The sequence below is a fragment of the Homo sapiens genome, chromosome 17, assembly GCF_000001405.40.
Source record: "Homo sapiens chromosome 17, GRCh38.p14 Primary Assembly".
Classification (NCBI taxonomy): Eukaryota; Metazoa; Chordata; class Mammalia; order Primates; family Hominidae; genus Homo; species Homo sapiens.
Genome location: NC_000017.11, coordinates 4,918,674 through 4,936,307, shown reverse-complemented (window position 1 = coordinate 4,936,307; position 17,634 = coordinate 4,918,674). Strand labels below are relative to the sequence as shown.

Sequence of the window (17,634 nt, the reverse complement as noted above, 5' to 3'; positions counted from 1 at the left end):
AGATGAAGCTGGACTGTCAGATGGGGTCAGTGCTTGGCACTCCCTGACTGCCAAGCTCAGGAGTTGGTCCTCCACCTGGGGAGAGATTCGGTCAGACTTTCAGGTTTGGGAGATCTTCAGGACCATCTGGAGGGGGATGGGGGTCTCCATAGTCCCATTCTCTGGGCCCCAAGCCTTGGATTGGGCTGGAGACAAGGCAGGAGAGGAAGCCACACCAGTGTGTTTAGAGAATGGCAGGATTTATGAGAAAAGAAATGGGGTTCCATTTGCCTGTGTCCCAGCCTGAGAGCAGGAAACCCAAGACTATTCAGTCACACCAAGATGGTGCATGCTGCAGGGTCCACCCCTTGCTGTCCTGCTGACCTGGGCAGTGAGGAGAGCTGCACTTCTGAGGCTGCAGGTGCAAAGCAGGCACCCACCTTTGCCCCTAGTACTGCAGGCTGCTGCCAGGTAGGTCCCAGCAGTTGTCATTAAACTCCAGGAAGGCAATTTTTGAGCTGGATCTGATGCCTGGGGTGGCCTGGTGGGTGGCCAGCCCTGGAGGAGAGGAGGCACCCCAGGCAGGGGAAGTGTAGGCTGTAACTGGAGGTCTATTGGATAAGTAGTTGTGACCAGGGTAGGGCATTTGGAGCCTTGTGAATTCTCATGACAGGTGCCCCAGCCACTCTTCACCAAAAGAAGCCAAGTTGTTTTGAGACAGGCTCTCACTCTGTCACCCAGGCTGGAGTACAGTGGCACCTTCAGGGCTCACTGCAGCCTCCATCTCCCAGGCTCAGGTGATCCTCCCTCCTCAGCCACCCAGGTACCTGGGACCACAGGTGCATGCCACCACACCTGGCTAATGTTTTGTATTTTTTGTAGAGGTCGGGTTTTGCCATGTTGCCAAGCCTGGGCCAAACTCCTGGGTTCAAGCAACCCACCCGCCTCAGCCTTCCAGAGTGCTGGAATTACAGGCATGAGCCCCTGCACCCGGCCAGAAGTTTTTTTTTTTTTTTTTTTTTTTTAGACGGAGTCTCACTCTGTTACCCAGGCTGGAGTTCAGTGGTACGATCTTGGCTCACGGCAACTTCCGCCTCCCAGGTTCAAGCGATTCTCCTGCCCCACCCTCCCGAGTAGCTGGGGTTATAGGTGTGCACCACCACGCCTGGCTAATTTTTGTATTTTTAGTAGAGACAGGGTTTCACCATGTTTGCCAGGCTGGTCTCGAACTCCCTACCTCTGGTGATCCACCCGCCTCGGCCTCCCAAAGTGCTAGGATTACAGGCATGAGCCATCACTCCCAACCCTAAAATTATTTTTTATTATACAGATAATATACAATAATAGTGGAAAACTAGAAAATGCTAAACAGGGAAAAAGAAAATAAAACCACCCATATTTGTAACATCCAGACACAACGAGTGCTCACATCCTGATAAATCACTTTCCAGATTTTCTTCTGTGCATAGATGCATGTGGGAACCATGCTGTATTCTGCCAAAATGGTTCACCGTGAGATCTGGCAGCGCCCCATGCAGCATCGGGAGCTTTGTCTTGTCCCCCCGCCAAGTCCATGTCATTACCCCTTCTGCTTTGGCTGGGACTGAAATTGTGTGCCTGTGTTGTGAAGACAGGGCTTCTGATACAGAAAAAGGAACTAAGACCCCTCCCTATCACCCTGTGTTCCTTACCCCTCCAACCCCCAACTAGATTCCAATAGGAGAGCCCACAGGCTCTTCTCTCAAGGTCCCCAAACCTCCCACCCTCAGAGGCTGTGGCCAGAGTACCTAATGCTCACTGTGCTCAGCAGGTCCTGACCACGACCCTGACTCAGAGCTGAGGGCCTCCTTCCTGCCACTAGAGGCCCCACACGGCCATTAGGCCGTACCCACAGGAAGAGGCTGGAGCGGAAAGTGGGAAGCGAACCTCGAAGGAAGAGCAGCCAGGCCCGGGGCACTGTCACTTGCCGTCCCCTCTGCAGCTCCAGGTGTGTGGTTTGTGTGGCTGTGGTCAGAGCAGCACCTTGGCCAGAGTCCAGGGCCTGTGGTTTCACATGCCCAACCCAGCTCAGCAGCAGGATGAGGACCACAGAGGCAAAGAGCAGCCAGAAGAGACCCAAGACATAGAAGCCCAGGGGGAGGAGGCAGCAAAAGTCGGGGTGGAGAAAAGGGTCATTTCTGGAGCTCTCCAAATGCCCTTGGAGCACCCCACGGAGCTTTGGTGGCTGATCAAGTTCAGGGATGGTTTTTTTGGTGGATTCTAAGAGTGATACGGGTTTTGTGGTAGTTAAAAATGTGCTTTTTGGAGTGATCAGGCTTGTGGCAGACACCAGGATGGTCGGGCTTGTGGCGATGGTCGGGATTGGGGTGGGCTCCGGGGTGGTCGGGCTGGGGGCGGGCTCTGAGGTGGGCTCTGGGGTGGTCGGGCTGGGGGCGGGCTCTGAGGTGGGCTCCGGGGTGGTCGGGCTGGGGGCGGGCTCTGAGGTGGGCTCTGGGGTGGTCGGGCTTGGAGTGGGCTCCAGGGTGGTCATGTTTGGGGCGGGCTCCGGGACGGGCTCTGAGGTGGTCGGGCTTGGGGTTGGTTCAGTAGTGGATTTTGGAGTTTTGGAGAATGTGATGGATTCCATGTGAAGTGTGAAATTTGGGGTCCATCTAGGTGGGAATGTGGTCTGCTCCTTAGTGGATTCTTGTGTTGGATGCAAGGAGGAGGGCATTTGGCTGTCTAGAGAAGCAGTGGACCATGAGTAGAATAGACCCCAGGGGGTTGTATGGGCTTTGGTGGGGAACTTGACCACAGTCCTTGTGGCACGCACCTTATCGCCCTCAGTGTCCTCTTCTGGGTAGTAATCATATAGGTCTGTGTCACCTTCATCACCAAGGGTGGGGCACCCCTTTCCTGGGTATTTGTAGACGGGAAACTTGTCTGAATTGTCACACTGCACACTGGCCACGTTAGAGGTCATGGCCTTGACGTCCACACCTTGCTTCCATACGTAGACATTTTCAGCATTGTCCTGCAGCCAGCGACGAAAATAGAGGATCTCACAGTTGCATAACCAGGGGTTCCCGTGGAGAAAAGCAAAAGGCAGGAGGTGGGACCCAAAAAAGCCCTTTGGTATTGTATACAGCGAGTTCTCTTGGAGGAGAAGGGTGTCGAGATTCTCCAGCCCATTCAGGAGCCCAGCGGGGAGCTCAGTCAAGTTGTTGTTAGCCAGACTGAGCTTCTCCAGCTTGGGTGTGGGCGTCAGGAGCCCTGGGGGCAGGGTCTTCAGCTCATTGCCTTTCAGGTAGAGCTCTTGGAGTTCGCCAAGACCACGCAGGGCACCAAGAGGCAGCGAGGTCAGCCGGTTGAAGGAGACGTCCAGGACGGTGAGAGCAGGCAGTGTCTGCCCTAGCAAGGGCAGGCTTTGCAGCTGATTGTGGGATAGATCCAGGGTCCCCAGCACTGGCAGCGTCCCATCGACCTGGAGCTTGGTGAGCTCGCACCTATCTAGGTTCAGCTGAGTGAGGCGAGTGTAAGGCATCAGGGTTGCCAGGGAGAAGGTGTACAGGAGGTTCTCACTCAGGTGGAGGATGGTTGTGTCTTTCGGCAGGTCTGGAGGCAGCGCTGTCAGATTCCTCTTGTCACAGTTCACTTCTAGGTGGCTGGCCACTTTGGAGACCTCACAGATGGGGTGGGGGTGTAAGGGGCTTGGCAGCAGGAGCAGCAAGAGGAGGAGAGGCATGAGGACCTGTGGGCAAGGGAGCCTTGAGTGGATCCCCCTGCATCCCCTGGAAGCATCCCCCCAGGCCCCAGCCCCCTTCCCCCTGCAGCTTCGCTTCCAGAAACAGCATCCACACCTCCTGTCCTCCCTACTCCCATCTCCCACCCTTGCCTGCAGAACTTAAAACTACTAGCTCCAGGTCCTTGGCTCTTTCCCCTCCCTCAGACCCCTCTCCTGCCCCAGCACCAACCCCGGCTTACAGGCAGGCAGAAAGACCTCCGAAGGCACAGAGCGTCTTCTAGGGTGCCACTCGACTCCGTCCTTCTCTCTTCTAGCCCCATGGAGGACTAAGCCAGTGGCAAGGAAGGGGATGGGGGTGAGGAGGAAATGCAGGCCTGATAGGGATTCCAGTGACCGGGAATCCCCTGGACACAAGCCCTTATCGCCTCACTCCACGGCTTTCCCCCAGGCCCTCTTTGTGGTTCTCTCTTCCGCTTTCCTTTTACACAGGGGAGATGGGGGTGGACTCCTCCAAACAGCCTTCTGCCATCTTTTAAAAACCTCTCCAGGGCCGGGCGCGTGGCTCATGCCTGTAATCCCAGAACTTTGGGAGGCTGAGGCGGGCGGATCACCTGAAGTCAGGAGTTCGAGACCAGCCTGACCAACACGGGGAAACCCTGTCTCTACTAAAAATACATTAGCCAGGCGTGGTGGCGCATGCCTGTAATCCCAGCTACTCGGGAGGCTGAGGCAGGAGAATCGCTTGAAACCGGGAGGTGGAAAGAGGTTGCGGTGAGCCGAGATCGTGCCATTGTACTCCAGCCTGGGTGACAAGAGCAAAACTCCATCTTAAAAACAAAAAAACCTCTCCAGATGCCCGCTTCTCTTCCTCTTCACAGCTGCATTCTGAGAGTTGCCTACTTTTAATTCTCTCCCACCTTTCTCTCTGCCTTCTCACCCCAGTCTATGCTGATTTCTTTCCCCTGCTACTCCATTGACTCGGTTCTTACCAAGGTCTTTAATGCTCTCCCTCCTCTACATCCATGGGAAACTTCTCCACTGTGATCTTACTTTATTTCGGCAGCCTGCATACCCATGGCCACTCGCCCCTTGGGATTCTCCTTTTGGCCTCTGTGACACATGACCCTGTAATTTTCTTGGTTTTCTTCTTACCTGTTTGGTTGGGCCTTCTCAGTCTCCTTCATAGATTCCCCTTCTTGAACAATTAAACTGCCCCCAGAGTTTGTGCTTAGGCTGTCTTCATTCCCAGCTAATTTTTATATTTTTAGTAGAGACGGGGTTTCACCATGTTGGTCAGCCTGGTCTCGAACTCCTCATCTCAAGTGATCCACCCACATTGGCTTCCCGAAGTGCTGGGATTAGAGGCATGAGCCACCGCGCCCGGCATTCTCTTCTTTTCTTACGCTATGCAACCACCTGAGATTATCCTCATCCATTCCCTTGCCTTCAACCACCACCTACAACCTAATGACTCTCAAATCTATGTCTCTAGTCCAGACCCTTCTCCTGAGACACAAGCACATATGTCCAGCTGCCTTCTGGACATCTCTACTTGGATGTCCCACAGACACCAAAACAATATGTTCAAAGCTGAACTCACCATCTCTCTCCAAATGGCTTCTCCTCCTGTGTTGCTCAGCCTGGTGAGTGGCACCATCATCCACTCATTTACCTAACCATTCAGTCAACACAAACAAAATCCCTAATAGTCATCTCTAACGTCTCCCGTCTTTCATCCCCATCACCAAGTCCTGGTGATTTTATCTCCCGTCTCTCTCAAATCTACTCTCCATCCACACCATCCTGCCAGCATTCCTAGTCCAAGGTTGTTGTTGTTTCTTGTTCATATCCTCCTCCTCCTCTTCTTCTTCCTCCTCTTCCTCCTTTCTTCTTCTTCTTCTTTTTTTTTTTTTTTTTTTTTGAGATGGAGTCTTGCCCTGTCTCCCAGGCTGGAGTGCAATGGCTCCATCTCGGCTCACTGCCACCTCTGCCTCCTGGGTTCAAGCAATTCTCCTGCCTCAGCCTCCTGAGTAGCTGGGATTACAGGCACCCGCCATCATGCCCGGCTAATTTTTCATATCTTTAGTAGAGACGGGGTTTTACCATGTTGTCCAGGCTGGTCTCCTTTGCTCTGTCTCCCAGGCTGGAGTGCAGTGGCGCAATCATGCCTCACTCAAGGACAAACTCCTGGACCCAAGGGATCCTCCTGCTTCAGCCTCCCAAGGAGTTGGGACTACAGGCATGCACCACCACACCTGGCTGATTTAAAAATTTTTTTCTAGAGACAGAAAAACATTTGTTTGTTGCCTAGGCTGGTCTCAAACTCCTGGGCTCAAGCGATCCTCCCACCTCGGCCTCCCAAAGTGCTAGGAGTACAGGCGTGAGCCACCATGCCCTGCCCAGGGCACCATCTTCTCGCTACTGCTTCCCTGCAACAGCCTCCTTGCTGGTCTCCCAACTTCCCAATTCCCTTTCTTCTCTTTATTCTCCACTGGAGTGGTCTTTCAGAACTGCACATTTGCTCATATCCTTCCACTGCTTGAAATCCACCAATGGGCCAGGCACAGTGGCTCACACCTGTAATCCTAGCAGTTTGGGAGGCCGAGGCGGGTGGATCACCTGAGGTCAGGGGTTTGAGACCAGCCTGGCCAACATGGTGAAAACCCATCTCTACTAAATATACAAAAAATTAGCCAGACGTGGTGGCCGGCACCTGTAATCCCAGCTACTAGGGAGGCTGAGGCAGGAGAACAGCTTGAGCCCCAGGGGGCATAGGTTGCAGTGAGCTGAGATCACACCCCCTCACTCCAGCCTGGGCGAAAGAGCGAAATTCTGTCTCTAAATAAATAAATAAATTCACCAATGGCTCCTCATAGATCTCAGGAGAAAGTCTAAAGTTCCCAACATGGCCTGCAGGGTCCTGCAAGGTCTCCCCTTTGCCTGCCTGTCCAGCCCCATCTGTTCCCACTCTGCCCTTACTCTTGATCATTCTCTCCTGTGCCTGAACTTTTTCTTCAACCCTTATCCCCTTCTGCCTAACTTTTACTTATTTGGCAAGTTCCAGCTCAGAATTCCTTCCTCTGGAAAGCCTTTTCTGACTTCCGAAGACCAGGTTAAATGTCTATTACAGAAAGTCAGACACCATGCCCTGCCTGTTGGTCCACTGCCCCTTCTGTGATGAGAATGTGGCCCTGCACTGTTCCCCAGTAGGAGCTCCATGCAGCCGCCTGAGCCTGCCCCTATCTGCTTCCAGCTGGTGACCGGACAAGGGATAGACACTTAAGCCAGATGCAGTTAATCCATAGATTTGCCATTTATATAATTTGCCCGCTGCAAAGGTATTGGAAAATGTGGGGAAGACGAGGTAGTATAGAAAGTGAGGTGGGAGTTTGTCTGGAGAGAAGCCATGAAATTGAATAAGGACCCCGAGCCCAGAGGCTGTTGATTTTTTTTTTTCTTTTTGACCCTCACCCAGGCTGGAGCGCGGCGGCGCCATCTCCGCTCACTGCAACCTGCTCATGCGATCCTCCCGCCTCAGCCTCCCGAGCAGCTGGGATCACAGGTGCACACCACCACGCCGGGCTAATTTTCGTATTTTTAGTAGAGAGGGCATTTCACCATGTTGGCCAGGATGGTCTTGATCTCTTTTTTCGCTCTTGTTGCCCAGGCTGGAGTTCAATGGAGTGATCTCGGCTCATGGCGACCTCCGCCTCCTGGGTTCATGTGATTCTCCTGCCTCAGCCTCCCAAGTAGCTGGGATTACAGGCATACACCACCACGCCCAACTAATTTTGTATTTTTAGTGGAGACTGGATTTCTCCATGTTGATCAGGCTGGTCTTGATCTTCCGACCTCAGGTGATCAGCCTGCTTCGACCTCCCAAAGTGCTGGGATTACCGGCATGAGCCACTGCGTCCAGCCTGCTCATATTTTATTTAGGACTTTTGCCTCTAAGTTAGAAAATAGGAGTGGCTTATAGATCTCTTTTGGGGATCTTTGTCTGTTTTTCTGTTTGTTTGGTTTTATGATCAGAGTTTATGCTAGCCTTGTAAAATAAATTGGAAAACTATATTCTCTGGAACAGTTATAGATAGGGATTTTCTGTTCTACATAGATTGGTGGAGTTCACCTATAAACCCATCTGGAGGCTGGGCACGGTGGCTCACGCCTGTAATCCCAGCACTTTGGGAGGCTGAGGCGGGCGGATCATGAGGTCAGGAGATCGAGACCATCCTGGCTAACACGGTGAAACCCCATCTCTACTAAAAAATACCAAAAAAATTAGCTGGGCGTGGTGGCGGGCGCCTGTAGTCCCAGCTACTTGGGAGGCTGAGGCAGGAGAATGGCATGAACCCAGGAGGCAGAGCTTGCAGTGAGCCGAGATCGTGCCACTGCACTCCAGCCTGGGCGACAGAGCAAGACTCCGTCTCAAAAAAAAAAAAAAAAAACCATCTGGATGTGGTGCCACTTCGGAGATAGGTTTTTGTGTTTTTTTGTGTGCTTGGTTTGGTGTGATTTGAGACAGGGTCTCACTTTGTCACCCAGGTGGAATACAGTGGTGCCATCATGGCTCACTGCAGCCTCAACCTCCCAGGCTCAAGCGATCTTCCCACCTCAGTCTCCTGAGTAGCTGGGACCTCAGGCATGTGCCACTATGCCCAGCTATTGTTTTAAATTTTTTGTAGAGACAGGGTCTCACTATGTTACCCAGGCTGGTCTTGAACTTCTGGGCTCAAGCAGTCCTCCTCTCTCCACCTCCCAGCCACTCAAAAGGCTGAGGTAGGAGGACTGTTTGAGCCCGGGAGGTCGAGGCTGCAGAAAGCCATGATTGCAGCACTGCACTCCGGCCTGGGTGACAGGGTGAGACCCTGTCTCAAAATAAAATAAATAAATAAATAAGTTCCTTCCCTAATATTCTTCCTGTTATTGAAGCCACCTTTGCAAAATTATGACTGAGACAGTGAAAGAGATCTAACCTAAGCAACTCCATCTTGCTTCTAAGCTTTAAGCTGTGCTTGTTCCTTCCTGAGCATAGGCTGAACTAACTTTGAGAGGAACTTAGTTTATTGTTTATAGTTACAGGCGTGAGCCATCACACCCGGCCTAGAGTTTATAGTTTAAAACAAAGACGGTAATAGCCCTTTCCCAAAACAAACCTACTTCTTGCCTGAGAACTAGACTGCCTTTGTAGTACTAACAAACTAGCCAAGAGATTACCAATTATGGTTTAGGAGTCCGGGCGCAGTGGCTCACGCCTGTAATCCCAGCACTTTGGGAGGCCGAGGTGGGCAGGTCACCTGAGGTCAGGAGTTTGAGACCAGCCTGACCAACGTGGTGAAACCCCATCTCCACTAAAGATACAAAAATTAGCCGGGTGTGGTGGCTCCCACCTGTAATCCCAGCTGCTCCGGAGGCTGAGGCAGGAAAATGGCGTGAACCCGGGAGGCGGAGGTTTCAGTGAGCCGAGACCGCGCCACTGCACTCCAGCCTGGCCGACCGAGCAAGACTGTCTCAAAAAAAAAAAAAAAAAAAAAGAAAGAAATTACGGTTTAGGAGTCATGCAGCTGGAGGCTACAGGATTCTGACCCTCCCTGGACTGCCCGTAAGATCAGTGCTTGAGACGTTTTGCCGACCCTGCACTTGATGGATCAGCTGGCGCCACCCAGATCAATAAACTGGCTCATCTGATCTTGTGGCCCCCACCCAGGAACTGACTCAGCACAAGAGGACAGCTTCAGCTTCCCATATTTTCATCTCTGACCTGATCAATCAGCACTCCCGGCTCACTGGCTTTCCCCCACCCACCAAGTTGTTCTTAAAAATTCCAATCCCTGAATGCTCAGGGAGACTGATTTGAGTAACAGTAAAACTCTGGCCTCCCACACAGTCGGCTCTGTGTGAATTCCTCTTTCTCTATCGCAATTCCCCCATCATGATAAATCGGCTCTGTCTAGGCAGCGGGCAAGGTGAACCCATTGGACGGTTGCCTTATTACCTGAGCCTAGCCCAGGGGTGTGACCTAATCACGGACAAGTGTACTCCTCCTAGGATTTCACGTGGTGAATAAGGTGGTACGAGGATGCAGAACTGGTCTTCATTCATTTCAGCAAAGTGTTCAGGAAAAGCTGTAGGGAAGTTCCTGCTACTAAGGTCCCCAAAGTTAGCTGATTCCTGAGCTATCCTGTGTTGTCAGTGTTCTCTTGCGTCCAGTGAGCTCCTGTATCTCTTTCCAAAAAAATTTCTGTTGGATTAGGTTAGCTAGAGTAGATTTCTATTACATGCATTTGAAGAAACCTAATCCAGTTCTTGTTTTTGTTGTTGTTGAGACAGTCTCACTCTGTCGCCCAGGCTGGAGTGCAGTGGCACAATCTCGGCTCACTGAAACCTCCTGCTCACTGCAACCTCTGCCTCCCGGGTTCAAGCGATTATCCTGCTTTAGCCTCCCGAGTAGCTGGGATTACAGGCACACGCCACCACGCCCAGCTAATTTTTGTATTTTTGTAGAGACGGGGTTTCACCATGTTGGCCAGGCTGGTCTTGAACTCCTGACCTCAGGTGATCTGCCCACCTTGGCCTCCCAAAGTGCTGGGATGACAGGTGGGAGCCACCGCACCTGGCCCCTAATCCAGTTCTCTAGTGTAGTTCATTTATTTTTCCTTCCTTCCTTTCTTTTTCTTTCTTTCGCTCTCTCTTTTTTTTTTTTTTTTTTTTTTTTTTTTTGAGATAGGGTCTCATCCTGTTACCCAGAGCCCAGACGGGAGTGCAGTGGAGTGGCATGATTGTGGCTCACTGCAACCTCCACCTCCCAGGCTCAAGCGATTCTCCCACCTTGGCCTGCCTAGTAGCTGGGACTGCAGGCATGTGCCACCACGTCTGGTTAATTTTTGTTTTTGTTTTTTTGTAGAGATGGAATTTGCCATGTTGCACAGGCTGGTCTTGAACTCCTGGACTCAAGTGATCCACCTGCCTCAGCCTCCCAAAGTGCTGGGATTACAGGCCTGAGCCTATGCGCCCACCCTAGTATAGTTCATTTCTAAAGAATTTGTAGCCGGGTGCGGTGGCTCACGCCTGTAATCCCAGCACTTTGGGAGGCCGAGGCGGGTGGATCATGAGGTCAGGAGATCGAGACCATCCTGGCTAACAAGGTGAAACCCCGTCTCTACTAAAAATACAAAAAATTAGCCGGGCGCGGTGGCGGGCGCCTGTAGTCCCAGCTACTCGGGAGGCTGAGGCAGGAGAATGGCGTGAACCCGGGAAGCGGAGCTTGCAGTGAGCCGAGATTGCGCCACTGCAGTCCGCAGTCCCGCCTGGGCGACAGAGCGAGACTCCGTCTCAAAAAAAAAAAAAAAAAAAAAAAAAAAAAAAGAATTTGTATAGAAGATGCCGGGCGTGGTGGCTCATGCCTGTAATCCCAGCACTTTGGGAGGCCGAGGTGGGTGGATCACGAGGTCAAGAGATTGAGAGCATCCTGGCCAACATGGTGAAACCTATCTCTACTAAAAATACAAAAAATTAGCCAGGAGTGGTGGCGGGCGCCTGTAGTCCCAGCTACTCAGGAGGCTGAGGCAGGAGAATCACTTGGACCCGGGAGGCGGAGGTTGCAGTGAGCCAAGATTGCACCATTGCACTCCAGCCTGGTGACACAATGAGACTCCATCTTAAGACAAAAAAAAAAAAAGAATTTGTACAGAAGACATTAGTTGGAGATGTATCCAAAATCCATTCAACTTTTACTCTTTTTTCTTTTGAGAAACTATTCCTACCTCATCCCTAGAATTTTTGGTGACATTGACTCTCAGCTGCGAGAGTGGATCTAAGCCACTTAATAGACTGCCTCCTCTCTGACACAGTTTAAGGACCCAACAAGTACCCTGACATAAGCTGATTAGGGTGTTCATGGTCATAGTGATTGGCCCAGGGATAGAAATAGGAAGTAAGTTGGTCCTTTCATGATGAAACCCAAGACTCTTGTTTGATGGTTAAGGTATACAAACCTTCTCTGAAAGTGGATGAGGAAATGTGTAACTCCAGGTGAGCTGTCAGCTGTTGGCATTATTCTGTGATTATGATGTGATCTGGCCTTCGGATGAAGCTATCATCAGAAAAGGTATGTGTTCATCAACAGTTGACTGGATAAAGAAAATGTGAGGTCAGATGTGGTGGCTCCAGCTTGTAATCCCAGCACTTTGGGAGGCCAGGGCCAGGGTGGGAGGATCATTTGAGCCCAGGTGCTGGAGGCTGCAGTGAGCTATGATCATGCCACTGCACTCCAGCCTGGGTGACAGAGCGAAACCCTGTCTCTAAAAATTAATTAATTAGGCCAGGCACGGTGGCTTGCGCCTGTAATCCCAGCACTTTGGGAGGCCGAGGCGGGCAGATCACTTGAGGTCAGGAGTTTGAGACCAGCCTGGCCAACATAGTTAAACCCTGTCTCTACTAAAAATACAAAAATTAGCTGGGCGTGGTGGCAGGCGCCTGTAATCCCAGCTACTCGGGAGGCTGAGGCAGGAGAGTCATTTGAACCCAGGAGGTGGAGGTTGCAGTGAGCTGAGATTGTGCCACTACACTGCAGCCCGGGTGACAGAGTGAGACTCCATCTCAAAAAAAAAAAAAAGTAATTAATTAAAGAAAATGTGATACACACACAAACACACACCATGAAATGCTATGCAGCCACTAAAAATAATGAAATCATGTCCTTTGCAGCAGCATGAATGGAGCTGGAGGCCATTATCCTAAGTGAACTAACTCAGAAACAGAAAACCAAACACTACATGTTCTCACCTATAAGTGGGAACTAAACAATGGTTACACATGGACATAAAGATGGAAATAATAGACATTAGGGGCTTTGAAAGAGGGGAGCTTGGGAGGGAAATGAGCATTGGACAATTACCTAATGGGGCCAGGCACGGTGGCTCACGCCTGTAATCCCAGGAGGCCGAAGCGGATGGATCACCTGAGGTCAGGAGTTCGAGACCAGCGGGGCCAACATGGCGAAACCCCGTCTCTACTAAAAATACAAAAATTAGCCAGGCTTGGTGGTGGGCACCTGTAATCCCAGCTACTCGGGAGGCTGAGGAAGGAGAATCGCTTGAACCCAGGAGGCAGAGGTTCTGGTGAGCCGAAATCGGGCCACTACATTCCAGATTGGGCGATAGAGCAAGATTCCGTCTCAAAAAAAAAAAAAAAAAAAATTACCTAATGGGTCCAGTGTTGACTGTTTGGGTGATGGGTACACTAGAAGCCCAGTCCTCACCAGGATGCAATATATTCATCTAACAAATATGTACATGTACCCCCTGAACCAAAACTAAAATAAACATTTCAGAAAAGAGCTTGGGGATGGTGGCTCATGCTTGTAATCCCTGCACTTTGGGAGGCCAAAGCTCGAAGATTGCTTAAATTTAGGAGTTTGAGACTGGCCTGGGTAACACAGTGAGGCCTCATCTCTACCAAAAACAAAAACGAAAACATTAGCTGGACTTGGTGGTGTACTTTTTTTTTTTTTTTTTTTTTTGAGACGGAGTCTTGCTCTGTCGCCCAGGCTGGAGTGCAATGGCGCGATCTTGGCTCACTGCAAGCTCCACCTCCTGGGTTCACGCCATTCTCCTGCCTCAGCCTCCCGAGTAGCTGGGACTACAGGCGCCCGCCACCACGCCCAGCTAATTTTTTTGTTTTGTTTTTAGTAGAGATGGGGTTTCACCATATTAGCCAGGATGGTCTCGATTTCCTGACCTCGTGATCTGCCCACCTCGGCCTCCCAAAGTGCTGGGATTACAGGCGTGAGCCACCGCACCCAGCCTGGTGGTGTACTCTTGTAGTCTCAGCTACTGAGGCAGGAGGATCGCTTTAGCCCAGGAGGCCAGGGCTGCAGTGAAACATGATCATGTCACTGCACTCCAGTCTGGACGACAGAGCCAGACCCTGTCTCCCTGTCTCAAAAAAAAAAAAAAAAAAAATTAGTCGGACATGGTGGCAGGCACCTGTAATCCCATCTACTCCAGAGGCTGAGGCAGGAGAATTGCTTGAACCAGGGAGGTGGAGGGTGCAGTTAGCCGAGATCATGCCATTGCACCCCAGCCTTGGTGGCAAAAGTGAAACTCTGTCTCAAAAAAAAAAAAAAAAGAAAAGAAAGAAAAAAATTATTTATTTTTTTGAGGAGAATTCAGGGAAGAAATGAGTTGGGTTTGTTTGTTTTGTTTTTCTATTTTATTTATTTATTTTTTGAGACAGAGTCTCACTCTGTCGCTTAGACTGGAGTGCAATGGCACAATCTCGGCTCACTGCAACCTCCGCCTCCCGGGTTGAAGCAATTTTCCTGCCTCAGCCTCCTGAGTAGCTGGGATTACAGACATGCGCCACCACACCCGGCTAATTTTGTATTTTTAGTAGAGACGGGGTTTCTCCATGTTGGTCAGGCTGGTCTCGAACTCCCGACTTCAGGTGATCCGCCTGCCTCGGCCTCCCAAAGTGCTGGGATTACAGGAGTGAGCCACTGCACCGGCCCTGAATTTTTAGTAGAGACAGGGTTTCACCGGGTAGGCCAGGCTGGTCTTTGAACTCCTGACCTCAAATGATCCACCCGCCTCGGCTTCCCAAAGTGCTGGGATTACAAGTGTGAGCCACCACACCTGGCTCCGTGTAGTTTTTTTTTTTTTTTTTTTTTTTTGAGACAGAGTCTTGCTTTCTCACCCAGGTTGGAATGCAGTGGTGTGATCACAGCTCACTGCAGCCTCCGCCTCCTGGGCTCAAGTGATCCAAACACCTCAGCCTCCCAAGTAGCTGGGACTACAGGTGTGCACCACTACACCTGGGTAATTTTTGTATTTTTGGTAGAGATTGGGTTTCCTCATGTTGGCCAGGCTAGTCTTGAACTCCTGACCTCAAGTGATCCGCCTGCCTCCCCAAGTGCTGGGATTACAGGCGTGAGCCACTGCGACTGGCCTAGACTAGTGTTTGACCAAACAACTGACTACTACTATTAGTCTGGCCAAGTTGACACATAAAATTATCCATCACATCATACCTTGGATGTTTATTGTAAACTGCAATACATTTTAAAGTTTACAATAGGCCAGGTATGGTGGGAGGACGGCTTGAGCCCAGGAATCCCAGACCAGCCTGGGCAACAGAGCAAGATCCCACCTCTAAAAAAAAAAAAGAAAGAAAAAAAGTTTATATTAAAAAAAAATCCATCTGAGAGACTTCTGCTTATGGGAAGATGGAGTACACTTTCTTTTACCTATTCCACCTGCTAAATACAACAAAACCCTGGATATTATACATAAAACACAAAAGCTAAACACGGTGGCAGGTTCCTGTAATCTCAGCTATTCAGGAGGCTGAGGCAGGAGAATCGATTGAACCTGGGAGGTAGAGGTTGCAGTGAGCTGAGATTGCACCACTGTTCTCCAGCCAGGGCAACAGAGCAAGAGTCTGTCTCAAAAAACAGAAAAGAAAAGAAAACAAAAATGAAAAATGAAAAAACAACCCACTATTCTAGATGTTGCTGTGAAGGTATTTTCAGATGTGATTAACCTTTAAATCAGTATGCTTGGAGTAAAGCAGATTATCTTTCATAATGTGGGTGGGCCTCATCCAACCAGTTGAATGGCTTAGGAGGAAAGGCTGAGGTTCCCTTGAGAAGGAAGGAATTCTGCCTCCAGACTGACTACCTCTGGACCCAGGATTACGTAAACTGTTCCCTTGGTCTCTAGCTTGCTGACTCCCTAGTCAAGGTTTTGGACTTGCTAGCGCACATAATCATGAATCATGTCAGCCAATTCCTTAAAATAAATATTTGTCGTGTGTTTGTGTGTGTTTGTGTGTGTATGTATACATCCTATTGGTTGTATTGGGTCTCACTCTGTTGCCCAGGGTGGAGTGTAGTGGCGTGATCATGGTTCACTGCAACCTCCTGGGCTCAAGCCATCCTCCTGCCTCAGCCACCCGGGTAGCTGGGACTACAGGCGCGTGCTACCATGTCTGGTTATGGTTCTGTTTTTGTAGAGTGCCCTGACTAGTACCCATGATTTTCACTTTCTGGAATTTTTTTTTTTTTGAGACAGGATCTGTCTCTGTCACCCAGGCTAGAGTGCAGTGGTGCAATCACGGCTCACTACAACCTCCGCCTACCAGGCTTGAGCAATCCTCCCACCTCAGCCTGCCCAGTAGCTGGGACTGCAGGCACATACCACCACACCAAGCTGATTTTTGTATTTTTAGTGGAAATGGGGTTTCGCCATATTGCCCAGGCTGGTCTGGAACACTCTTGCCTTGGCCTCTCAAAATGCTGGGATTACATTAGCGAGCCACCAAGCCCGGCCTCTGGAATTTGTTATTCTCTTTATGTTCTATGTGCATTTTAAAATAATATGTATTCCCTGTTGAGATAATATATACTCTCAAATCCTGTATACTTTTTCTTATTTTTTGTGTACTTGATCTGTCCATTTCTGGGCGAGGTATGTTAAAATCAAGCACCCCAATTGTGGATTGTTCACTTTATTCTTTATTTCCATACAATTTTACTTTATTTTAAAGCTATGTTTTTAGATAGACAAATGCCTATGACTATTAGCTAGTCAACTTGCTGGCTGCTGTAACATATTACCACAAATCGAGTGGCTTGCGAAAATAAAATGTATCCTCTCACAGTTCTGGAGGCCAGAAGTCTGAAATCGAGGTGTCCCCATGGCCACACTTCCCCCGGAGGCTCTAGGAGAGAATGCTCCCCTGCCTTTTCCAGTGTCTGGCAGCTGCCAGCATTCCAACGCTTTCCTTGCTTTTGGAGCTTTATCATTCTAATCTCTGCTAGTGTCTTTATATCACTTTCGCTTCTGTGTGTCTGTGTCTTCTCCTCTCCTGTCTCTTATAAGGACACTTGTCATTGATTTTCGGGCCCTCTTGGATAATCTAGAATCATCTCCTTATCTCAGGTCCTTAATTCATTTACATCTCAAAGTTCCTTTTTCCAAATAAGGTAACATTCACAGATGTCAGGGATTAGGATATGGATGTATCTTTTGAGGGGGGCCATCATTCAGCCCGCTACAACCATGATAGCTTCTTGGTATATTATACCTTTTATAAAGATGAAATATCCCCCTTGGTCCCTTTTAATGCTTTCTGTTTTGAATTCTTTTGTTTGGCATTAATATTGCTATATTTGTTTTCTTTATATTAGTATTTTTATGCCATAATTTATTCTCTTATTTTCCAGATTTTTTTTTTTTTTTTTTTTTTTGAGACGGAGTTTCACTCTTGTTACCCAGGCTGGAGTGCAATGGCACGATCTCGGCTCACCACAACCTCTGCCTCCCGGGGTTCAGGTGATTCTCCTGCTTCAGCCTCCTGAGTAGCTGGGATTACAGGTGCCCGGCTAATTTTTTGGTATTTTTAGTAGAGATGGGGTTTCACCATGATGGCCAGGATGGTCGCGAATTCCTAACCTCAGGTGATCCACCTGCCTGGGCCTCCCAAAGTGCTGGGATTACAGGCATGAGCCACCATGCCTGGAATTTTCCAGCTTTTTACCAACTTGTTTTTGTTGTCTCTTGCAAACAGCATGTAGCAGAATTATTTTATTTATTTATTTATTTATTTATTTATTTATTTTTGAGACAGAGTCTCGCTCTTTGCCCAGGCTGGTGTGCAGTGGTGCAATCTCAGCTCACTGCAACCTCCTCCTCCCAGGTTCAAGCGATTCTCCTGCCTCAGCCTCCCGAGTAGCTGGGACTACAGGTGTGTGCCACCATGCCTGGGTAATTTTTGTATTTTTAGTAGAGATAGGGTTTCACCATGTTGGCCAAGCTGCCCCTGAACTCCTGACCTCAGGTGATCCACCCTCCTCGGCCTCTTAAAGTGCTGGGATTACAAGTGTAAGCCACCATGCCCAGCTAGCAATCATTGATTTTTAACATAACATT

At 49.7% G+C, this 17,634-nt stretch overlaps 1 protein-coding gene across 1 annotated transcript, besides 1 other annotated feature; it reads right to left on the bottom strand.

The window, feature by feature from the left end:
* Window positions 1,285-4,031, bottom strand: GP1BA (glycoprotein Ib platelet subunit alpha). Its single transcript, NM_000173.7, has 2 exons — window positions 3,943-4,031; window positions 1,285-3,709 (listed from the first exon to the last, which is right to left on the bottom strand). The coding sequence occupies exon 2, from the start codon at window positions 3,701-3,703 to the stop codon at window positions 1,745-1,747; it is 1,959 nt and encodes a 652-aa protein (NP_000164.5). The 5' UTR covers window positions 3,704-3,709; window positions 3,943-4,031; the 3' UTR covers window positions 1,285-1,744.
* Window positions 1,766-1,985: an enhancer, noted in NCBI's record as "active region_11554". NCBI's record gives its function as "activates an Ori minimal core promoter by ATAC-STARR-seq in GM12878 lymphoblastoid cells {active_cell/tissue: GM12878}" and the evidence as "EXISTENCE:reporter gene assay evidence [ECO:0000049][PMID:35858748]".

Excerpts from the sequence above, each read along its gene's own strand:
- GP1BA (NM_000173.7), bottom strand. The coding sequence starts at position 3,703 with ATGCCTCTCCTCCTCTTGCTGCTCCTGCTGCCAAGCCCCTTACACCCC.